Source organism: Homo sapiens, chromosome 2 (assembly GCF_000001405.40).
Source record: "Homo sapiens chromosome 2, GRCh38.p14 Primary Assembly".
NCBI lineage: Eukaryota > Metazoa > Chordata > Mammalia > Primates > Hominidae > Homo > Homo sapiens.
Window position 1 is genome coordinate 219,595,867 of NC_000002.12, and position 21,657 is coordinate 219,617,523.

Below are 21,657 nucleotides of genomic sequence, written 5' to 3' on the forward strand. Positions count from 1 at the left end.
GCTGTTGTAGGGGCTGAAAAGTTGTGATGCCTTTCTTCCTCATCATAAGGGTCAGAGCTCGTATAACAAGATAGGTTAAGAGAAAAATCTAAAATAAACTAAGAAGTTTATTTAATCAAAGTTTTACATGACATGGGAGCCTTCAGAAATGGCTACCCAAAGAGCCAGGGAAAACTTGTTTTTAATGCTTAGATTCTATGAAAAATGGACAGCCTGCAGTAATGTGGTTGGGCAAAAAGTGTGCCACTTAATAGTAACAGACAGCAGGTGGAAACCCAACGAGGTCTTTCTGTGTAGCATTCCTTCCTCCCAGGTATGAGGCAGGATCTCTTCCAGAATGAGGGTCTTACGGCCTATCAGACAAGGTAGGCCAGAGAAGTTCTTTACGGCCAGCTTGTTTTTTGGACTGAGTTTCCCTCCTGTTGCCCAGGCTGGAGTGCAATGGCGTGATCTCGGCTCACAGCAACCTCTGTCTCCCGGGTTCAAGCGATTCTCCTGCCTCAGCCTCCCGAATAGCTGGGATTACAGGCATGCACTACCATGCCCGGCTAATTTTGTATTTTTAGAAGACACAGGGTTTCTCCATGTTGGTTGGGCTGGTCTCGAACTCCCGACCTCTGGTGATCTGCTGGCCTCGGCCTCCCAAAGTGCTGGGATTACAGGCGTGAGCCACCGCGCCAGGCCACGGCCAGCTCTTACATAGAAAGGTGGGGGGAAGTTTAGGTTTTATGGCTGGCTTTGGGGGAGAGGGCTTCTAGTTTCTGTGACTCATCTTGGGGAAGAGGAATTCTGGTTTCTATGGCTTGCCTTGGGGAAGAAAGAAGGCTGGGAGACAGGAGGGCAGGAAAAGGTCGGAGAGACTGTGCCTGAGGCCTTCCAGTCTCTTTTAGTTCAAAATAGTCAGCATACCAAAGCGCCGTATTTTGGGGTATTGTTTTTCTGAGCTCAACACTGCTGCTTCGGATGTATCTCCACTTACTTTATTTAACCTAAAAGGCTTTCAGCTCAGAGCACAAGTAGTATGCCATGAATGCGAAATTGTGTGGTTCAAATATTCAAAATATTTGAAATATTTGCCATTTCAAATATTTTGTCTTGAGAAAATAAAATCTTTCAAATCTGGCAACTTGGGATAAAGATGACTATGATCCTATCCCTCCTTTCAACTGGCTTAGGATTCATTTTGATTTTCCTCTGTAGAAATGGGGCGCTTCATGAAAGAAACTCTCTCTGAAAACCAGGAATTCTGTTAAAAGACCTTTTTGCTAATCTAGTTCAGTAGTTGACGTTAGCATTTGACGGGGAGCCTGGTGAAAGCTACCATGAGAATTCGGAAGCAAGAAACTGGCAGTCCTGGCGCTACTGGTTACTAATTGAACGACCTTCGCAAGTAACCTAGCCTCTGTGAACCTGTTCTCATTTTCAAACGCGGTTGAATAACTACTTTTCAACTAGGATGTTATGAAAGGTAATAGGGTAAAGACAAAGGACTAGGTTCGCGTGGAGCCCAGTACTGCTGAAGGAAAGATACACGAGTTTGGAGGGAGTCTAAGGAAAAGGAGGCAAAGGACCCCGGAGGTTATATCCTCGGTGGCCTCAGCTTTTACACGATCTAAGTCCATCCTACGGCGGATACGCTCTCCTTTCACTGGAAAATGACTGTTTGCGTTGAAAAAATTTTTATCTAACAAAGCTCCATTTCTCTAAACTTTGCTTCCCCGCCCAGTTTGCAAACGAGTCAGGGTTTCCTCACCGGCGCGGTAGGCTCGCCGAAAGCCAAGCGGGAGCCCCAGGCTGCGCAGGGCGGGGGAATAATGGGTGCCCAGCTCCGGGCCAGGAAGCCCAGGGAACCACTGCAGCCACCACCGCGGTCAGGAGACAGCCCCCGCACCGCCCCTTTTCGATTCGTTTGCATGATCTACGGCGCGGTTTCCGGCGGCAGAGACATGTTTTCCGGTCGTCCCTTGGCTCGATTTTCTTCCGGGGCGGGACTTCCTTTCCATCATTGATAGGCGCCGGGCAGCTGAGCTGGTAGGAGGACCAGACGGGGAGGTTCGGTATGTCTGACCAGGACTTATGTTCCTCGAAAGGGCGGCCAGGAGGATGCTCTTCCTCTCTTTTCTTTCTCGCCTTTTTCTCCGCATGACGCCTCGGTTTGCGCGGACGCCCTGGGCTTTTGGCACTACCGCCCACCTGAGGCTCTTCCGCTTCCTCTTTCCCCCCCCAGGCTCCGCCCCCCAGCGTCCCGTGGCCATGACGACCGCTCAGAGGGACTCCCTGTTGTGGAAGCTCGCGGGGTTGCTGCGGGAGTCCGGTGAGTGGACTTCCGGTTGGGCTGGGCCTCGGACCTCGGACGAGGTGGGGGTGGTGCTTTCTGGAGACACGCCCTGAGAGTCATGGAGTTACGACTGGTAGGGTCACCAGGTGTCAGAGTTCAATTTCTTTACTTTTCCCAGGTTTGTTCGCCCTTACAGTGTCCTTTGCCTGTGATAGCCTAAACTCTAGCCGTCCTTTGAGGCCAAAGGGCGGTATCCCTCCCTCCGTGCCTTCTCTGACACTGTCAGAAGGAAGTGATCATTACCTGACTAAAAGCCCCTCAGGACCAGGGACTGATCTCGGTCATAATCATTATTGTGTAGCAAGGTACTAAATACAGTAGATAGAAGCACGAGATTTGGAGTCGGACCCACTTGGGTTGGAATATCAACCCTCTTTCAAACTTGCCATACTGTTTCCTGAGGCTCAGTTTTCCTCACAGATTGGCATAGTGATTGTACTTAACATTTGTGGGGATTCGTTTTAATTCATGTATTTAGTACAATGCCTGCAAGTATAGTAACTGCTTACAGTTGGGAGCTATTGTTATTGTAATGATTTCCCTGATGCTTGGCACTGTGCCTGGGCATAATGGAGCCACAGTAGTTGTTGAATACTTGGTTGGCATTAGTTGTGGTAGAAAAAGCCTTGGCTTTGAGATCAGATAGGAGAAGTAACTTCCTACCAATTATATGATCTCCATCAAGATTTTTCACTTTTTTGAACCTCAATTTTCATATCTGTAAGATGGGGTTAATAGTGCTTCTCTTTGAGAGATTCTGAGAAGGTTTGAATGAGATACCAAAGTCATCTGGTACATACTACAGTTAATGTTAGCTGTCCTCCATCACTCCATGCTCCTATTGACGATATCTGTGGAAGCTCTCTTTATAGCAGTTTTCTTTTCTTTCTTTTCTTTTTTTTGAGACAGAGTCTTGCTGTGTCACCCAGGCTGGAGTGCAGTGGCGCAATCTCAGCTCACTGCAACCTCCACCTCCTGGGACGAAGTGATTCTCCTGCCTCAGCCTCCTGAGTAGCTGGGACTACAGGTGTGCACCACCATGACCGGCTAATTTTTGTATTTTTAGTAGAGACGGGGTTTCACCATGTTGGCCAGGTTGGTCTTGAACTCCTGACCTCAAGTGATTAACCTGCCTTGGCCTCCCAAAGTGCTAGGATTAAAGTCGTGAGCCACAGCACCTGGCCAGTAGCAGTTTCATTTCCTGGCTTGTATTGATAACTTTGCAAATGTCTTATATCCTTCTCTGGGAGGAGACAACTAGGAGGCCCTTTGAACGTGGGAAGAGTCCTTGAACCATGTCTGTATCTATCCTCAGTGTCTAGTACATACAGAATCCTTCATGTCAGGTTGTAGGACTTGTTAATTTATTCAGTGATGAATGGTGGGTGTGTGAATGTGTGACTACAAGGAGGTAGCAGGAGAAGAGCTTTGTGGCAGCAGAATAGTTTTGTATCTTGATTGCGTGGCTGCAGGAATTTATATAAACAGCATATAGCTATATATACATATTGTACCAACATCAGTGTCCTGAATTTTTTTTTTTTTTTGAGATGGAGTCTCGCTCTGTCACCCAGGCTGGAGTGCAGTGGTATGATCTCGGCTCACTGCAACCCCTGCCTCCCTCCCAGGTTGAAGTGATTCTTCTGCCTCAGCCTCCCGAGTAGCTGGGACTACAGGCATGCACCACCATGCCCTACTAATTTTTGTATTTTTAGTAGAGACGGGGTTTCACCATATTGGCCAGGCTGGTCTTTAACTCCGGACCTCGTGATCCACCCGCCTTGGCCTCCCAAAGTGCTGGGATTACAGGCGTGAGCCACCACGCCTGCCCTTTGTGTTTTTTTTTTTGTTTTTGTTTTTTTTTTTTTTTTTTTTTGAGATGGAGTCTACCTCTGTCACCCAGGCTGGAGTGCAATGGCTCAATTTCGGCTCACTGCAACCTCTGCCTCCTGGCTTCCAGCTGTTCTCTGGCCTCAGCCCCTCGAGTAGCTGGGATTACAGGCGCATGTCGCAATGCCCAGCTGAGAATATTTGTATTTTTAGTAGAGACGAGGTTAGAGTCGTAGAATAATTTTTTGTGTTTTTAGTGGAGACGGGGTTTCACCATGTTGGCCAGGTTGGTCCTGAACTCCTGACCTCAAGTGCCTTGCTCCCAAAGTGCTGGGATTACAGGCCTGAGCCACGGCAACCAGCTCAGTGTCCTGACTTTGATATTGTACTATAGCTATATAAAATGTAACCATTAGGGAAAACTGGGTAAAGGATACAGGGGACCTTTCTGTATTATTTCTGCAGCATTCTTTGACTCCATACTTATTATATTTTTTAAGCCAAAAAAGCATTCCTTCATGCCTAGCTTGTAGCTGCACTTTTTTAGGTGCAGTGATGAATACCAGAGTGATCAAAAGATGCCCTCAAGGATGAAAGTCTCATTAGAGAGAGCAGTTTTAACAGACAGCAATAACAATGCCTTAGTGCTATAATGAATAGTTATTCTATGACATACTTTTTAGTATTGTTTGAAAGTTTCTACAGATGTGCTTTGCAATCAGAAAAAGAAAGAAAGATAAAACTTCCAATTAACTTTTGTGTAATAATGAGTGACTGCAATATGAAAATTCAGCAGTATTACTTCTTGAGGCGGCTTCCTGGAGGAGGCTGGTCTCAAGCTGGGCGGTGGAAGGGGGTGTCTCATAACAAGAGAGAACTGTGAACCAAGCTGGCTGTATTTCCAGCACTGTCAGTAGATGAGGCTCTTTTGAGCAGAAGGTGAAAGAAAATTTGGAAGAGTTGGTTGGAGTTGTGTAGCCAAGCAGTCTCATCAGGCTGAATGAAATGTTAGGACTTTTTTTGAAGATGAGGGGAGCCATTGAATGCTTTTGAGCTGAGAAGGAGATAGAAAATTTGATCCTGCAATAGAAGATCTACAATATGGATTGGAGTGGGTATATTTTGGCATCATAGAGCCTTAGAATAAAGAGAAAAATCTTTTCACTGTGTCTTCCCTCCTGTTTGCCCCTTTTTCTGCAGGGGATGTGGTCCTGTCTGGCTGTAGCACCCTGAGCCTGCTGACTCCCACACTGCAACAGCTGAACCACGTATTTGAGCTGCACCTGGGGCCATGGGGCCCTGGCCAGACAGGCTTTGTGGCTCTGCCCTCCCATCCTGCCGACTCCCCTGTTATTCTTCAGCTTCAGTTTCTCTTCGATGTGCTGCAGAAAACACTTTCACTCAAGGTTCTGGGTGTGGGGAAGAGGCAGGATGTGCAAGGAGCCCAAGAGAATGATGGAAGTTGGGGATAGGGTAGGGGTGCAGAAGTCTGCAGTGCCAGGATCCAGAGGGTGTCAGAGGTACCAGTGGTTGTGCTAAGGAAGGAATGTTGAGGGCAGGAAGATCTGCTGTGCCTCAGTAAATTGAGTTTTTTTTTTTTTTTCAGCTGGTCCATGTTGCTGGTCCTGGCCCCACAGGGCCCATCAAGATTTTCCCCTTCAAATCCCTTCGGCACCTGGAGGTATGGGGACACGGGGGGATGTTGGTGCACAGCACCCAACTTGAGGCAGCCCCTTGGGGATGGGAAAGAGAAGAGCCTCTTTGGTGAGGAGGCCAGGCCTGAGTATACCCATTGCTCTGCAGTCATGTGATATCCACTGTCTTTCCATTTACTGCTTCCCTAAATCATAGCTGGGCTTTGTGGTCTTCTCCCTCCTCCCAACTAGGGGATGGGGATGAGGTCTTTGTCTTCTGTGGGGTTCTGCCTTCCTCCCTCCTCTTTCCTTGTCCCAGCTCCGAGGTGTTCCCCTCCACTGTCTGCATGGCCTCCGAGGCATCTACTCCCAGCTGGAGACCCTGATTTGCAGCAGGAGCCTCCAGGCATTAGAGGTAAGGAGAGTGAGGGGTGAGCTCAGACACCTCAACTTGAGAGATGTAGAAGACCAAGCTCTGATGTTCTCCCCTCTCTGCAGCTCTCCCTGCCTCCTGCTTCCCTCTAGACAGTGTCCTCACTCCCTCTCTGTGTTCCCGCAGCACTCTGTAACTGCCTGTATATTTATAGTCGTACCTACCATATTATATTACATATTCTAGTGTCTACCTTCCCACTGTCCCTACAGTGAGTTCTTGGGTCAGGGACCTGGGCTTTAAGCCTGTATCTTCAGATGGAGTTCAGTGTATAAAAAATGAATGAGTGACTGGGTGGTAGAGCTTGGCCTTGGCATAGGGAGGAAGGGGAGGGTGGGGTAATGAAGCACCCATCTGTCTGCTCAGGAGCTCCTCTCAGCCTGCGGCGGCGACTTCTGCTCTGCCCTCCCTTGGCTGGCTCTGCTTTCTGCCAACTTCAGCTACAATGCACTGACCGCCTTAGACAGCTCCCTGGTGAGTGCCTCAGAGGGAAGAGGGTTTCGAGGAAGGGCAAGGCCAGGCCTTTGGGGAGGAGGGCCAGCTGGTTGACCAGATAGTATTGTAGTGAACATCGATTCTCTGCCTCCTCCCCGTCTCTCTCAGCGCCTCTTGTCAGCTCTGCGTTTCTTGAACCTAAGCCACAATCAAGTCCAGGACTGTCAGGGATTCCTGATGGTGAGTATGGGCAGTTTGGCAGCTGGCACACCATGGGTCTTTGATTGCTCTGCTCTCACTCTCTCTCCTTGACCAGCTTTTACTCCCACCTTGCTCTTGCCATGAGGGTGGAGCTGCATTCTGGGAGATAGCACTGCTTAGACACTAGCATCAGACAAACCAGAGTTCATATCTCAACTTCTAATACCTGTGCAACTTTGAGCAAGTTAGTTACCTCTTGGTTTCTTTACCTGTAAAGTAGAAATCACAAGAGTACCTGGTTTTTTTTTTTTTTTTTTTTTTTGAGATGGAGTCTCGCTCTGTCACCCAGGCTGGAGTGCAGTGGCGCAATCTCAGCTCACTGCAACCTCTGCCTCCCAGGTTCAAGCAATTCTCCTGCTTCAGCCTCCCAAGTAGCTGGGATTACAGGCACGTGTCAACACACCTGGCTAATTTTTGTATTTTTAGTAGAGATGGGGTTTCACCATGTTGGTCAGGCTGGTCTTGAACTGCTGACCTCAAGCAATTCACCTGCCTTGGCCTCCCAAAATGCTGGGATTACAGGCATGAGCCACCACGCCCGGCTGAATACCTGCTTTTATAGTATTAAAATGATTGTGAAGAAGTACCCAATGTTGCTTAGTCTAGTGCCTAGCTCAGAAACTGGTAGCTTTTGTGATTATGATGAAGAACCTTTCTTCTGGGTCCTCCCATCCACCTGTCAGAGATAAAGCCGAACTAGTTAAAGTGGTAAGGACAGATTTTTTTTTTCTTTTTTTTTTTGAGGCAGAGTCTTGCTCTGTCACCCAGGCTAGAGTGCAGTGGTGTGATCTTGGCTCACTGCAAACTCAACCTCCTGGGTTCAAGCAGTTCTCCTGCCTCAGTCTCCCGAGTAGCTGGGATTACAGGTGCCCGCCACCATGCCCAGCTAATTTTTGTATTTTTTAGTAGAGATGGGGTTTCACCATCTTAGCCAGGCTGGTCTTGAACTCCTGACCTCATGATCCGCCCACCTCAGCCTCCCAAAATGCTGGGATTACAGGTGTGAGCCACCGTGCCCGACCAAGTAAGGACAGATTTTTTATCAGTGATAAACTATTGCAGCGGGGAAGAGGGTGCAACCTGAACTGAACGCCACTTCAATTTGTGCAGAGGTGGCTGGGCATTTTAAAAGGAGAGTGAGGGAATAGGAAGGGGAACTGTGAGGGCTTGAGCAGAGTAAGGGAAGTGGAAATGTACGAAAAGCAGAAGTGGAGGTTGATTCACATGAAGCCCTTCTGGGTTTGCTAAAAGTTAGGCTCCTACCTTCCCACAGAGACTGGGAGATGGGAGCCCTGTCATCAGGTGTTGGCTAGAACAAATGGGAAATTCTTTTGGCAGCCTTGACTTTTCCCAGGCAGGAGCTTAAGGGGGCTAGAGTCACCATTCTAGGGATGCATCCTTGAGATATTAGAACTTTGCTGTTTTTGTTCAGGTTTTTTACTGTGGGGGTTGGAGGAGTCAACAAAAATAATTTGTGTTGAATTTTGTTGAACTTGTGCTGAACAAGTCTGCAGTTCTTAACAGGCCAAAGTTGAGGCCTAGTCAAAAAGAAGGCCCAGAGGAGCCTGAGTAGGGTTTGATCAAGGTGAGAACCTCCTCTAATTCAGGGAAAGAAGAGACACTCCTCTTTCCCCTGAACAATATAAATCCTTTTCTTCCTTGATCACCTTTTGTTCACTAAAAACCAACTGAGCCATTTATTGGGACTTGGTAGTGGATGAATTTTGCTGGATGGTGAGAGTGACCAGGCATTTAATGGGGGACATTTCTATGGAAACAAAAAGGGAAACAAAGATGAATGGTTGGAGCAGACTATAAATCCATTTTCTGAGTCCAGAGGGCAGCCAGTTGAGATTTCTAGGTGTTGAGCTCTATGTTTCTTTAGATGGTGGAATGAGGATAGCAGTGGCAACCGATGGATTTCTTCGTTTGTAGTTTGAATGTTTGTGGTGATAGCATAGACAGTGTTGCAGTCACGGTTATTTCCCTGAACAGAGCCTGGAAGATACAGAAGTGTCAGTGGACTTTTTTCCTTTTTTTTTTTTTAATGAGACAGAGTTTCGCTCTTGTTGCCCAGGCTGGAGTGCAATGGCACGATCTTGGCTCACCGTAACCTCTGCCTCCCGGGTTCAAGCGATTCTCCTGCCTCAGCCTCCCAAGTAGCTGGGATTACAAGTGTGTGCCACCACGCCCAGCTAATTTTTGTATTTTTAGTAGAGACGGGGTTTCACAATGTTGGCCAGGTGAGTCTCGAACTCCTGGCCTCAAGTGATCCCCCCTCTTTGGCCTCCCAGAGTGCTGGGATTACAGGCATGAGCCACTGCACCTGGCCGGCTGGGCATTTTAAAAGAGGGCGGCGGGGAGTGGGCAGGGGAATGGTAGGGCCTTGAGCAGAGCTGGGGGAGTGGAAATCAGGTTGGTCCACATGAAACCCATCTGAGTTTGCTAACTAACTGGCACTTACCAAAATAAGGCCCTTACCCTTTCACAGAGACTGGGAGACGGGGCCCTATCTTCAGGAGTTGGCTGAAACAAATGGGAAATTCTTTTGGCAGCTTTGACTTTTCCCAGGCAGGAATTTAAGGGGCTTGGAGTTGCCATGCTCAGGGTGTGGCCTTGAACTGTTAGGAACAGTGCTGGTGTTGTTCAAGTCTTTTAACGTGGGAGTAGGGGTGGATGAAATCATTTGTGCTGAGTGTGTGCAGTTTTATATAGGCCAAGGTTGAGGCCTAGTCCAGAAGAGGTCTCAGAGGACCCTGGCTAGAGTTTGGTCAACGAGATAATCTTTTTCTCCCCTGTACCCCTGCCAGGATTTGTGTGAGCTCCACCATCTGGACATCTCCTATAATCGCCTGCATTTGGTGCCAAGAATGGGACCCTCAGGGGCTGCTCTGGGGGTCCTGATACTGCGAGGCAATGAGCTTCGGAGCCTGCATGGTGAGTGGGGGTGTGTGATGGGGCAAGCATGGAGGGGAAGGGGGAGAGTGAGGCTGGGGCTGGCCTGGGGACCATGTGCCTCTAGAGCCTTGAGAGGGCTTATGGGGAGTGCAGGGGTGCTCTGGCCGGTCTTTCTGCTGCAACCTCCCCCAGTGCATGCACCACACTCACTTGCGTGTACTCATCCACATGCTCTTCCTTCCTTCTTGCGTCCACCCCAGGCCTAGAGCAGCTGAGGAATCTGCGGCACCTGGATTTGGCATACAACCTGCTGGAAGGACACCGGGAGCTGTCACCACTGTGGCTGCTGGCTGAGCTCCGCAAGGTGAGATGGGAATGCATCAGGGGCCTGGGAACCACCCTTGCACGTACCCCCCCATGCTGGTTTGGTCAGTGCCTTCTTCACACAGGGAGGGCCAGGGCCCCAGGCCCTCCTCATTCTCCCCTTCCTGCCCCTCAGCTCTACCTGGAGGGGAACCCTCTTTGGTTCCACCCTGAGCACCGAGCAGCCACTGCCCAGTACTTGTCACCCCGGGCCAGGGATGCTGCTACTGGCGTGAGTGATCGTCCTGTGTCCACTCTTCTTCCCCTTTCCTGCCCAGTCCTCCCCCACCTTGCACCCTCTTGCCATCCCTGGGTGAGGGGCCAAGGACCTGGACCCTGCTTACTGTGTTCTTAATACCTGGAGCTCAGCAGGATGGGCCTACCACATACTCCCTCCCCCTTTTTGTCTTTGCTCAGTTCCTTCTCGATGGCAAGGTCTTGTCACTGACAGATTTTCAGGTCGGTGTGGTTGGGGGGCGAGGACTGTTGGGGGAAGACACGAAGGGAGGGCGCTGGGGAGAGAACAGAGGGCTGGCTGGTGACAGGGTCTTCCTGGTCAGTGGAAAGTAGGGTCCCGCCTTTTGGCTGGCTTGGGCAAGGCAGAGGTGCTCCCAGGCTCCAACCTCTCTCTCCTTCCTGTCGTCACGTGCCAGACTCACACATCCTTGGGGCTCAGCCCCATGGGCCCACCTTTGCCCTGGCCAGTGGGGAGTACTCCTGAAACCTCAGGTGGCCCTGACCTGAGTGACAGCCTCTCCTCAGGGGGTGTTGTGACCCAGCCCCTGCTTCATAAGGTTAAGGTAAGCAGCGTCCTCCGCTGCCTTGTGCCTGCGGTTGGGTGTCTCTCCGGGGACTCTGGGCTACAGTGGGCAGGGAATGGTAGGAACTGTGCTTGCACGTGGTCAAGGTTTCTTTGATAGGTTGGATGGCCAGCCGTGGATGGCAGGGCTGGAGGCTTGGCTTTCACAGAACTTCTTCCCTCCACCAACCTCAGAGCCGAGTCCGTGTGAGGCGGGCAAGCATCTCTGAACCCAGTGATACGGACCCGGAGCCCCGAACTCTGAACCCCTCTCCGGCTGGTAAGTCAGCTTCATCCCACTAACCTCTCTCGTCCCCAGCGAGCTCACTCTAATTTTTAAGTTACAGTGAAGATCTGCTGGAAGAAATGTTATTTTTTGTTGGGGTAGAGTATTATAGAGGGCTTCTTAGTCTTTTTTCTTTTCTTTTAGTTTAGGGAAAGGAGAAGACTGCTTCTGGGAGCATTTTGAAAACTTTTCGAGGAACATTAATTTTGTGGGGTGTCAAGAGATCATGTAGGCCAGGTGCAGTGGCTTACATCTGTAATCCCAGCACTTTGGGAGGCTGAGGTGGGAGGATTGCCTGAGCCCAGGAGTTTGAGACCAGCCTGGGCAACATAGAGAGATGTCCATTTCTACAAAAAAATTTTTAAATTAGCCTGACGTGGTGGTGTGCGCCTGTAGTCCTAGCTACTTGGGAGGCTGAGGCAGGAGGATCGCCAGAGCCTGATAGTTCAAGGTTGCAGTGAGCTATGATCATGCCACTGCACTCTAACCTGGTGACAGAGTAAGACCTTATCTCTTAAAAAAAAAAGTAAAAAACCCCAAAACAAAAGAAAGTGTATATGTATATATATAAAATAATAGGATTGTGGCCAGAGAAGTTTGAGAAATGTGAGGTTGAAGAGAAATAGGTGTGTCAGCTGCCGGCCGTCTCGGGCCCTTCAGGATGCTATCATGTATGCTGAGTCTCTGGAAGTAGCATAGGATGCGCAGCTTGGATTGCATGTGACCACAGGGTTCCATAGGACACGCTTTAGTACATGCCGCGGAGGGGACGCCTGTAGCCTCCCTTGCCCGTGTCCCCATACACAGCCCATCGCCCCCTCATCGCTGAGGAGCACCGTTGAAGGATTTGGGGCCATCTGTGTGGGGCAGGCTTGCTCAGTTCTGGGTTCCCCTCCTGCCTAGGATGGTTCGTGCAGCAGCACCCGGAGCTGGAGCTCATGAGCAGCTTCCGGGAACGGTTCGGCCGCAACTGGCTGCAGTACAGGAGTCACCTGGAGCCCTCCGGAAACCCTCTGCCGGCCACCCCCACTACTTCTGCACCCAGTGCACCTCCAGCCAGCTCCCAGGGCCCCGACACTGCACCCAGACCTTCACCCCCGCAGGAGGAAGCCAGAGGCCCCCAGGAGTCACCACAGAAAATGTCAGAGGAGGTCAGGGCGGAGCCACAGGAGGAGGAAGAGGAGAAGGAGGGGAAGGAGGAGAAGGAGGAGGGGGAGATGGTGGAACAGGGAGAAGAGGAGGCAGGAGAGGAGGAAGAAGAGGAGCAGGACCAGAAGGAAGTGGAAGGTGAGCCCTTTGTGGGCTGGGGCGAGCTGAGGCCAGGGGCCCTTGGGATGTTTGTGAGTGGTGGGGCCTGGCGGGTGGAGGGCCAGTTCGGGGGAGGGCAGAGTGTGGGTACTTTCCCTCCCTGCAGGCCTTTTCTCTTGGTCTCTCCACAGCGGAACTCTGTCGCCCCTTGTTGGTGTGTCCCCTGGAGGGGCCTGAGGGCGTACGGGGCAGGGAATGCTTTCTCAGGGTCACTTCTGCCCACCTGTTTGAGGTGGAACTCCAAGCAGCTCGCACCTTGGAGCGACTGGAGCTCCAGAGTCTGGAGGCAGCTGAGATAGAGCCGGAGGCCCAGGCCCAGAGGTCGCCCAGGCCCACGGTGAGTGGGGCGTGGCAGGGTCTCTGGAGGAGCCAGTTATGGGAACATGGCTGTTGTGTGCCCTGCACTGGGCTGGGCATTTCTTTCAGTCTCTCCTTGGCACTAGGAGCCGAGGAGGGGAGCCTCAGAGGTTGCAAGCACTCGGGAAGCTGGGCTGAGGAGCAGGGATTCTGTGCTGGAGCTTGGACGTCAGTACAGGCCTTTGACAGGCTTCAGAGGTCCTGCCATCCTCCATGCTCTCAGCATCCCCTCATCCCTCTGATCACCGCCCCTGCTGTTTTTCACCCGGTCCCCCTCTTGCTGCGCAGGGCTCAGATCTGCTCCCTGGAGCCCCCATCCTCAGTCTGCGCTTCTCCTACATCTGCCCTGACCGGCAGTTGCGTCGCTATTTGGTGCTGGAGCCTGATGCCCACGCAGCTGTCCAGGTGATGGCGCCCAGAGTGGGGGCCCAGGAGGCTGTGGGGATTAAGAGAGCCAGAGGGAAGTGGCAGCAGGCCTGAGGGCCGGGGGCCTGTGGGAGGTGTCCGTCTGGGGTCCGCCTGCTCACAGCTGCCTCTGATCCACCCTCTGTCAGGAGCTGCTTGCCGTGTTGACCCCAGTCACCAATGTGGCTCGGGAACAGCTTGGGGAGGCCAGGGACCTCCTGCTGGGTAGATTCCAGTGTCTACGCTGTGGCCATGAGTTCAAGCCAGAGGAGCCCAGGATGGGATTAGACAGTGAGGAAGGCTGGAGGCCTCTGTTCCAAAAGACAGGTACAAGTCCTGCCCTTGACCTCTCTGCCCACACGCCTCCCCTGTTCCAGGGAAAGTGGCTCTGTGTAGGGGAGTGTGAAGGGGGAGCCCTAGGGAGAAGGGGCTAGAGTGGAGAGCAGTTGTTCTGCCTGGAGGAAAAAGAAAACCGTCTGCCTGCTGCATTTACAAAAAGGAAAACAGAAAAAAAGAAGAAACTATATCCTGTTTTTTTTTTTTTTTTAACTCTAAAAGTCAGGAAATGCAATCTCTGTAACTGTGCTTAAACATACTCATTATTTTTTCATAACTTGAAGGCTTGTTGTGTTGGGGATTTTTTGGCTGATATTTCAGACACTACATAAAACCTAATGAGCCCTCACTGCAGTATTGGATTGTGGTGCTGCCTCTGCCAGCAAGTGTAGCTGTTGAGTGAGATGCTTGGGGAGTTGGCTTGGTTTATCCTTCCCGGCTGACCTTGGAAGGTACATAATGTCCTGTGGCATTTCTTCATGCGCTAGTCCTTAAAACAAGAATTGTTTCCATTGTAGACCAGTCAGCACTATCTTTGAAGAAGACATTGAAGAAGAAATAAATATTCTTGATAACAGCTCTGTGGAAATGCCAGAATTTTATTAGACGGTTTTCTCTTCTTGGCGGCAGCTGGAGCAGGGGTTTAGATTTTATTCAGAAAATGGAGCCCTGCTCCATTCCCCACTGTGAACTGGCCTGGGCATGCAGCCTTAGTGACACAGCGCAAACAGAAACAGCCCCCAGCCCCTCCCGGACCCTGGCTGTACACCATGAGGTGCTGTGGTCTCTGGAGCCTCTTCCATGGTGGCGTTATTAATGAACATTACTGTGGGCTCTGTTCTCCTTTAATTTTTTTTTTTCTTTTTTTTTTGAGACGGAGTCTCGCTCTGTTGCCCAGGCTGGAGTGCAGTGGCACAACCTTGGCTCACTGCAAGCTCTGCCTTCCGGGTTCACGCCATTCTCCTGCCTCAGCCTCGCAAGTAGCTGGGACTACAGGCGCCCACCACCACACCCAGCTAATTTTTTGTATTTTTAGTAGAGATGGGGTTTCACCGTGTTAGCCAGGATGGTCTGTCTCCTGACCTCGGATCTGCCCACCTTGGCCTCCCAAAGTGCTGGGATTACAGGCGTGAGCCACCACGCCCGGCCAACCATTCTCCTTTCACTTGCACCTCAGTTACCTCCTCTGAACAAAGAAGGGAATGAACTCACCCCATGGTGCTGTTACGCTATTTAAATGTGACAGTAAGGCACCAAGCAGAGGGCCTGGCACAACACAAAGGTCTCCTGTAAATGGTAGCTGCTGCCGTTGTCCCCAGCTGTATGGTCCTGGGCAGCATGTGTAAATGATTTAATATTTTCTTTCTTCTTTGCAAAATGGGATAGGGAGAGTTTCTCTGGTGATGAAATGCGATCATAGTGGCATAGGAGGTAGCGCATGCCCATCACGGTGTAGCTGCTCAGAGTGCTGCCTCTCTCATTGCTGATCCATGTCCTGATTCCTTCCCAGCTTCCTGACACTAAGGATGAGTATAAGATAGATGCTATTGTCATCCCTGTTTTATAGACGAGGAACCAGGCTCACAGAGCTTAGATGACTTGCCCATGATTACAGAGCCATTAATTGATGGAGCCTGGAATTGGACCGAAATTTGGCAACAGAGTTCTCTGCCTTTCCAGACCTGTTGATTTTGGTCTTTCAGACGTTGCTAGGAGAGCCCTGAAGTACTTGATCAGCCCAAGTCTGTAAGAGGGCATAAGAGCAGGTCCTGGTTGTGTTTGGCCCAGTCTGAGAGGGCCTAGAGTTAGAAGGTAGAGTGCACTTTGAGGAGTTTGTGGGCCAGGGTTAGCTCATCCCTCCCTGGGGTGGGGAGTGATCAGTTGGCAGCTGTGCCGGGAGAGGGAGCTGGTGGCCTGGGGCGCGGTGGTTGTGTATGAAGCTGGAGGCTTGGGCTCAGGGGAGACCTGAGCATGGGGAAGGAGCATCGTGAGCATGGTGGGAGTTGTGGCACTGTGGGGGGGGCTCATGGGGACCGTGTCCATCCTCCCTCCAGAATCTCCTGCTGTGTGTCCTAACTGTGGTAGTGACCACGTGGTTCTCCTCGCTGTGTCTCGGGGAACCCCCAACAGGGAGCGGAAACAGGGAGAGCAGTCTCTGGCTCCTTCTCCGTCTGCCAGCCCTGTCTGCCACCCTCCTGGCCATGGTGACCACCTTGACAGGGCCAAGAACAGCCCACCTCAGGCACCGAGCACCCGTGACCATGGTAGTTGGAGCCTCAGTCCCCGTGAGTATAGGCAAAACAAGACATAGATGAGTTTGGGGAAGGGAAGGGGCACTGATGGGGAGGTGGAGATGGAGCCCAGGGGCTGCCATGGGCAGGCTGATGCCCCCTCATTGCCCTCAGCCCCTGAGCGCTGTGGCCTCCGCTCTGTGGACCACCGACTCCGGCTCTTCCTGGATGTTGAGGTGTTCAGCGATGCCCAGGAGGAGTTCCAGTGCTGCCTCAAGGTCTGTGCTCCCTGACACTGCCCATGCCCCCAGCTGTCCAGGGTGCCCACTCGTTTCCATCACAGCCAACTGAGTCAGATCAAGCACTCTAGAGACCTGATCTGGCTTCTGGTTTCAACCCCAGCAGCTTCTTGCTGTGTGGCCGTGGACACATTCCCTGGTATTTGAGTCCCAGTTGTTGCCTGTCTGCAATGGAGATAACGATGCCTCCCTTACACAGTGGCGTGCGTCAGGGCTCATGTTGAAGCTGCCCAGCCCAGCACCTGGCACTCATCAATGGGGCCTCCTAGCATTATTATAAACACATGATGTCGTTAGGCCTTTGTTGAGCACCTGTTGTGCTAGACATTGAGGATCTACAGATCAATCTTGCCCTTGATCTTACAGTCTGGTGTGAGAAGCTGACAATGATTATGCAATATGCAAATGCTGTAATCGGGCTAAGGCCCTTGAAGGGGTGTCTAGTCCAGCTTGAGTGGGTCAAGGAACCTTCCTGGGAGGTGATGTCTAAGCTCAGTCTTGAAGGGTAAGTTAAGGAGTAGGGAGGAAAAGAATGTCTTAGGTAAAGGAAGCCGCAAATGCATGGAGGCCCGAGAGTGTCGCTGGTGGGGAGAACTGCCCAGGATGAGGGCACCTGGACATGCAGGGCGAGGGGCAGGGGTCCTGAGAGGACTCTGGGGGGCCGGCAGGGGCCAGGTCAGGAGCTGCCTCCTGTGTCTGCCAAGGAGTTTGGACTTGTTTCTGAGGGCCACTGGGAGCCACTGAAGGATTTGAAATGGGGCAGTGATGGTCAGTTTTGTGCCTTAGAATAGTTAGTCTGGCGGAGCGTGGAGGGGGTGAGGCGACAGGCAGGGAAGCCAGCTGCTGAGGCTCTGAGCGGGCAGGGGCTGCAAGGCAGAGAGCGGTGGTGGATGAAGAGGCTGTCGAGTGTGAGGGAAGCTCCATAGACTGGTGGGTGGGCAGTGGGAGGGTCAGGCCGAGGGTGCTGTCACCAGGAACTCGGCTTTCAGTCTGGCCCCACCTCCCCAGGCCTCTCATCAGGTTTCTCACCAACTTCCTCTTCCCCCAGGTGCCAGTGGCATTGGCAGGCCACACTGGGGAGTTCATGTGCCTTGTGGTTGTGTCTGACCGCAGGCTGTACCTGTTGAAGGTGACTGGGGAGATGCGGTGAGTGAGAGGGGAGATGCAGTGAGTAAGGGGGGAGATGGGGTGAGTTGGGGGGAGATGGGGGAGTGAGGGGGAAGATGGGGTGAGGGGGGAGATGGGGTGAGTGAGGGGGGAGATGGGGTGTTAAGGGGGGAGATGGGGTGAGTGAGGGGGGAGATGGGGTGAGAGAAGGGGGAGATTGGGTGAGTGAGGGGGAGGTGGGGTGAGTGAGGGGGGAGGTGGGGTGAGTGGGGGGGAGGTGGGGTGAGTGGGGGGGACGTGGGGTGAGTGAAGGGGGAGATGGGGTGAGTGGGGGGCGGAGATGGGGTGAGTGGGGGGCGGAGATGGGGTGAGTGAGGGGGGAGATGGGGTGAGTGAGGGGGAGATGGGGTGAGTGAGGGAGGAGATGGAATGAGGGGGAAGATGGGGTGTGGTGAGCGCACGGGGGTGATGCAGTGAGTGAGGCAGGTGCAGCTGGGGCAGGGCCTCTCTGGGACTCTCACTCCACTCTCATGCTTCTCCATTGCTCTGTCCCCTCTCTCCACAGTGAGCCTCCAGCTAGCTGGCTGCAGCTGACCCTGGCTGTTCCCCTGCAGGATCTGAGTGGCATAGAGCTGGGCCTGGCAGGCCAGAGCCTGCGGCTAGAGTGGGCAGCTGGGGCGGGCCGCTGTGTGCTGCTGCCCCGAGATGCCAGGCATTGCCGGGCCTTCCTAGAGGAGCTCCTTGGTGAGAGAGGGGAGGGGAAGGCAGGAGGGTGGGCAGGAGGGTGGGCAGGGCCTTGGGGCCAGGCTCCCCACCTGGTACCCAGTAGCGGAGACAGAGAGGTAACAGGACTTGTCCCTTGTAGAAGTTTCTGAAATCCAGAAATGTGGAGAATAGGAAGGGATTGAGAGGTGGTGAGTTTAGGCTGGAGGAGAGCAGAGCCTTCTAAAGTTCCCTGGCCTGCCTCTGTCTAGATGTCTTGCAGTCTCTGCCCCCTGCCTGGAGGAACTGTGTCAGTGCCACAGAGGAGGAGGTCACCCCCCAGCACCGGCTCTGGTGAGTCGATAGGAGGCAGAGGCTGGGGTTGCTGCCCAATCCTCTTTCCACAGAGCCCCAGACATGGCCCTGTGCTGAGTAGGTCCTGGGCAGCCACCTGTCCTCATGCCATGCCCCTTATGGGCCCCTAGTGTCTCCTCCCAACCCCCTGCAGGGCTTTCTTCCCACTCCCCTCTCTTCAAGTCCTTCCCACCCGCTAGCTGATCTTCCTGTGCCTGCCATATTCCCTCTAGGCCATTGCTGGAAAAAGACTCATCCTTGGAGGCTCGCCAGTTCTTCTACCTTCGGGCGTTCCTGGTTGAAGGTGAAGCCTCTGTGCAGCTGATGCTTCCCTGGTCTCTGTACCCTACCTTGTCACAGGCACTGGCCCACGCGCAGCACCTGTACAGTGCCCTTGCAGCAACTGTCAGTTCCTGGAACCTGGAGAACCTCTCACTTGAGGGCATAGCTGAGTAACAGCCTCAGTGTGCCCTGACCCTCTGGGTGGGGTTAGGAGGCACCCAGGATCCTCAGTTACCCAGAGCCTTTGCTCTCGGGCCCAGGCTTTCTATGAAGTGGAGCAGCGTGGCTGAGTCGGCCCTGCCTCATCAGTCACAGAAGGAGAGGGTGGAGCCTTGTTTCTGAGTAGGGTGGGTGTGGGGCAGTGGGGGGCGGTAGGCCTCAGAGGTATTCCAGAGTAGAGATTCATGGAGCTTGGGAAAGGGAGGGTCTTGGCCCCAGGGGCACAGGCTGCTTTGTGACCCACCTCAGAGTGTGGTTCACACCTCTTCTCCCCAGCAGCACTGGGACGCTGGCCCCAGGGATCTGGGCCCCTCCATGACCTTCCACACTGGATGCCTCTTTCCCTGCAGGCCCTTCCACCTGCCTCGTATCCCTGTTGCTGACTCCGTCCACCCTGTTCCTGTTAGATGAGGATGCTGCAGGGTCCCCGGCAGAGCCCTCTCCTCCAGCAGCATCTGGCGAAGCCTCTGAGAAGGTGCCTCCCTCGGGGCCGGGCCCTGCTGTGCGTGTCAGGGAGCAGCAGCCACTCAGCAGCCTGAGCTCCGTGCTGCTCTACCGCTCAGCCCCTGAGGACTTGCGGCTGCTCTTCTACGATGAGGTGTGTATGTGTATCTCCAGTGAGAGGGAGGGAGGGGAGATGGTGAGCACAGGTTGGGGCCATGAGGGCAGGGTGGGAAATGGGTCTAGGAACCCTGGGCATTGGTGGCAGGATGGCACTTACAGATGAGAGAACTAGGGTTGGAGGAACTGGGGGACTCTAGGCTTGGATGAATATCAAGTCAGGGAGGCAGCTGTAGGCAGGGGAGACACCTGGACTGGGAGCCCAGCCATTTAGCTGGGCCACGAGGCTTTCAGTGAGGTTTCCGGCAGCTTTGAGTTGGCAGGATTGGGCCGGTTGTATGCCAGCCGTTTGGCCTTTGTGACCACCACCTGAGGAGATACGGTTACTGGTCCTATTTACAGGTGAGGAAGCTGAGGCTTGGGGATGTTAACCAGTTTGCCCAGTCCAAAGTGGTGGAGCCGGGAATTGAATCCACAGTTCCCTGAAATTGAGCCCGCATCTTCTGTACAACAGGGAAGATGAAAAAGACAGGTCCTCTGGAGGCTTTCAGTAAACGTCGGCTGGATTCTGTTTACAAAGCTCAGAGTCAGGATCTTTTATGGGGAGTGACATGGGCCTGGGGAAGGGGAGAGGCACTGAGCCAAGGTGGAGACAGTGAGGCCTTCGCAGAGACCTCCCTTGTACCCACCCTGGTGTGGTCCCCATGAGCCTCGCCTTGCTAACTGCTCGGTCTGCCAGGTGTCCCGGCTGGAGAGCTTTTGGGCACTCCGTGTGGTGTGTCAGGAGCAGCTGACAGCCCTGCTTGCCTGGATCCGGGAACCATGGGAGGAGCTGTTTTCCATCGGACTCCGGACAGTGATCCAAGAGGCGCTGGCCCTTGACCGATGAGGGTCCCACGCTGACCTTGGCCCTGACCTCAGGAGCCACGCTGTAGACATTCCCTCTCCTGGTCTCTGGGTCTGGCTTCCAGGCTCTGGCTGTGGATGTCTTCAGCCTCTGGGTGCTGGCCAGTGAGGTCCCAAATGACCCAGGGCTTAAGGGAGAGGCGAGAGAATGATCTGGCCTCAGGGGACAGGCCACCTGGTCAGGAGGAATATTTTTCCTGCACTTTTTCTCAGGTATCAATAAAGTTGTTTCCAACTCATAGGTCATGTGTGGTACTTAGAGTCACTCATAAGGCCTGCAGTTCCCCTAACCTCTTCTGACAGAAGCTATCCCACCCATCACCTTTCCTGAATGGGCAGCTCCAAGCAGCCTTGTTTGTGCCATGAGACCCCATCTCCAACCCAACTGTGGTCCCAGCATGGGAGATCAAGTAGAGCTCCTGACCCACAGGCACACAGCCCCAAGCTGGCAGTGACTTGTCATGTGGCCCGGCATGGAATTGCTGCCAAACAAGTAGCTGGGCCAGATACGGTCCTGCTCTCTTGAACTTTACATGGAAAGTAGTGAGGACTTCAGGCCATCGCAGAGGGTGTCTGGGGAGAGGGTGTGTGGAGTTGAGTGGTGACCTCTGGTGCTTCCTGCCATTGCCTTCTCAGCACCGCCTCACTCAGCCTGGAGGCCTGGATGGTCAGCCCCACTCCCTCACCTCTTGTCTCCAAGTCTGGCCCCAGTGATTGGTTCAGGAATCCTCATGTGAATTCGTTTGGCTTATGAAGCCCCAGCGCAGGCATTTGACTAGAGCAACCAAGAAGGAGGCAAGTTTCCTCTCAGGGTTGCTGTGAGGATAAGCCTGGAGCTGCTGGCTGTGGGGAGGCGCTTTCCTAAAGTGGAACCATGAGAGAGAGGAAGATGGCCCAGATGGAGAGAGCAGGGCCAGACTCTGGGGATATCTTTGAAGCCCCTGGGTCTAGTTGTGCCCGAAGACAGAAACCCCTGTGACTTTAGGTAACATGATCTAAAAAAGAAGCCCTCCCCTCCCTGTTTCTATGGCTTAAGCTAATTCGAAGCAAGTATGAGCCACCAAGAGTCCCAACTAAACAAACCCCGACTCCAACTTGAGCTGGGCTGAGATCTGTTTCTTGTACCCAAGAATGAACACAATGGAGATCATTACAGCCACACAGTTGTGCAGAGAGGCTCTGGTTCTTGGTTCCGATTCTGAAGTGAGGCAGAATGATTAATCCAGCTCACTTTTTGTGTCAGGTCTATGGCCTTGACCACTTTGTGACCCGACTGCTTGGTGGGAACAGCAGTACTGGGGCTGTGTCACTGG

At 52.8% G+C, this 21,657-nt stretch overlaps 1 protein-coding gene across 9 annotated transcripts, besides 4 other annotated features; it reads left to right on the forward strand.

The window, feature by feature from the left end:
* Nucleotides 1,943-2,162: an enhancer, noted in NCBI's record as "active region_17155". NCBI's record gives its function as "activates an Ori minimal core promoter by ATAC-STARR-seq in GM12878 lymphoblastoid cells {active_cell/tissue: GM12878}" and the evidence as "EXISTENCE:reporter gene assay evidence [ECO:0000049][PMID:35858748]".
* On the forward strand, nucleotides 1,991-20,585 carry STK11IP (serine/threonine kinase 11 interacting protein). 9 transcript variants are annotated; one of them, XM_011510526.2, is made up of 25 exons: nucleotides 1,991-2,057; nucleotides 2,228-2,314; nucleotides 5,369-5,574; nucleotides 5,775-5,849; nucleotides 6,122-6,217; nucleotides 6,602-6,709; nucleotides 6,839-6,910; nucleotides 9,742-9,868; nucleotides 10,090-10,193; nucleotides 10,329-10,424; nucleotides 10,610-10,651; nucleotides 10,846-10,992; nucleotides 11,187-11,271; nucleotides 12,181-12,564; nucleotides 12,717-12,922; nucleotides 13,231-13,347; nucleotides 13,497-13,674; nucleotides 15,738-15,968; nucleotides 16,089-16,192; nucleotides 17,262-17,359; nucleotides 17,886-18,064; nucleotides 18,295-18,376; nucleotides 18,610-18,680; nucleotides 19,228-19,475; nucleotides 19,841-20,585. In XM_011510526.2, the coding sequence occupies exons 2-25, from the start codon at nucleotides 2,254-2,256 to the stop codon at nucleotides 19,922-19,924; spliced, it is 3,201 nt and encodes a 1,066-aa protein (XP_011508828.1). In that variant the 5' UTR covers nucleotides 1,991-2,057; nucleotides 2,228-2,253; the 3' UTR covers nucleotides 19,925-20,585. The 9 variants fall into 9 exon arrangements, 7 of the variants coding, with proteins under 7 accessions (XP_011508828.1, NP_443134.3, XP_011508829.1 ...); NM_052902.4 differs by having other exon boundaries at nucleotides 20,178-20,585; XM_011510527.4 differs by having other exon boundaries at nucleotides 19,953-20,171.
* Nucleotides 2,373-2,432: an enhancer, noted in NCBI's record as "active region_17156". NCBI's record gives its function as "activates an Ori minimal core promoter by ATAC-STARR-seq in GM12878 lymphoblastoid cells {active_cell/tissue: GM12878}" and the evidence as "EXISTENCE:reporter gene assay evidence [ECO:0000049][PMID:35858748]".
* Nucleotides 9,196-10,395: an enhancer, noted in NCBI's record as "CDK7 strongly-dependent group 2 enhancer chr2:220469784-220470983 (GRCh37/hg19 assembly coordinates)". NCBI's record gives its function as "activates an origin of replication core promoter dependent on BRD2, BRD4, P300/CBP, MED14 and CDK7 cofactors, with strong dependence on CDK7, by STARR-seq in HCT116 cells {active_cell/tissue: HCT116}" and the evidence as "EXISTENCE:reporter gene assay evidence [ECO:0000049][PMID:35650434]".
* Nucleotides 12,401-12,900: an enhancer, noted in NCBI's record as "H3K4me1 hESC enhancer chr2:220472989-220473488 (GRCh37/hg19 assembly coordinates)". NCBI's record gives its function as "activates a minimal SCP1, AML or CMV promoter by ChIP-STARR-seq in primed H9 embryonic stem cells {active_cell/tissue: H9 hESC(primed)}" and the evidence as "EXISTENCE:reporter gene assay evidence [ECO:0000049][PMID:30033119]".
* Nucleotides 20,586-21,657: the final 1,072 nt, after the last annotated feature.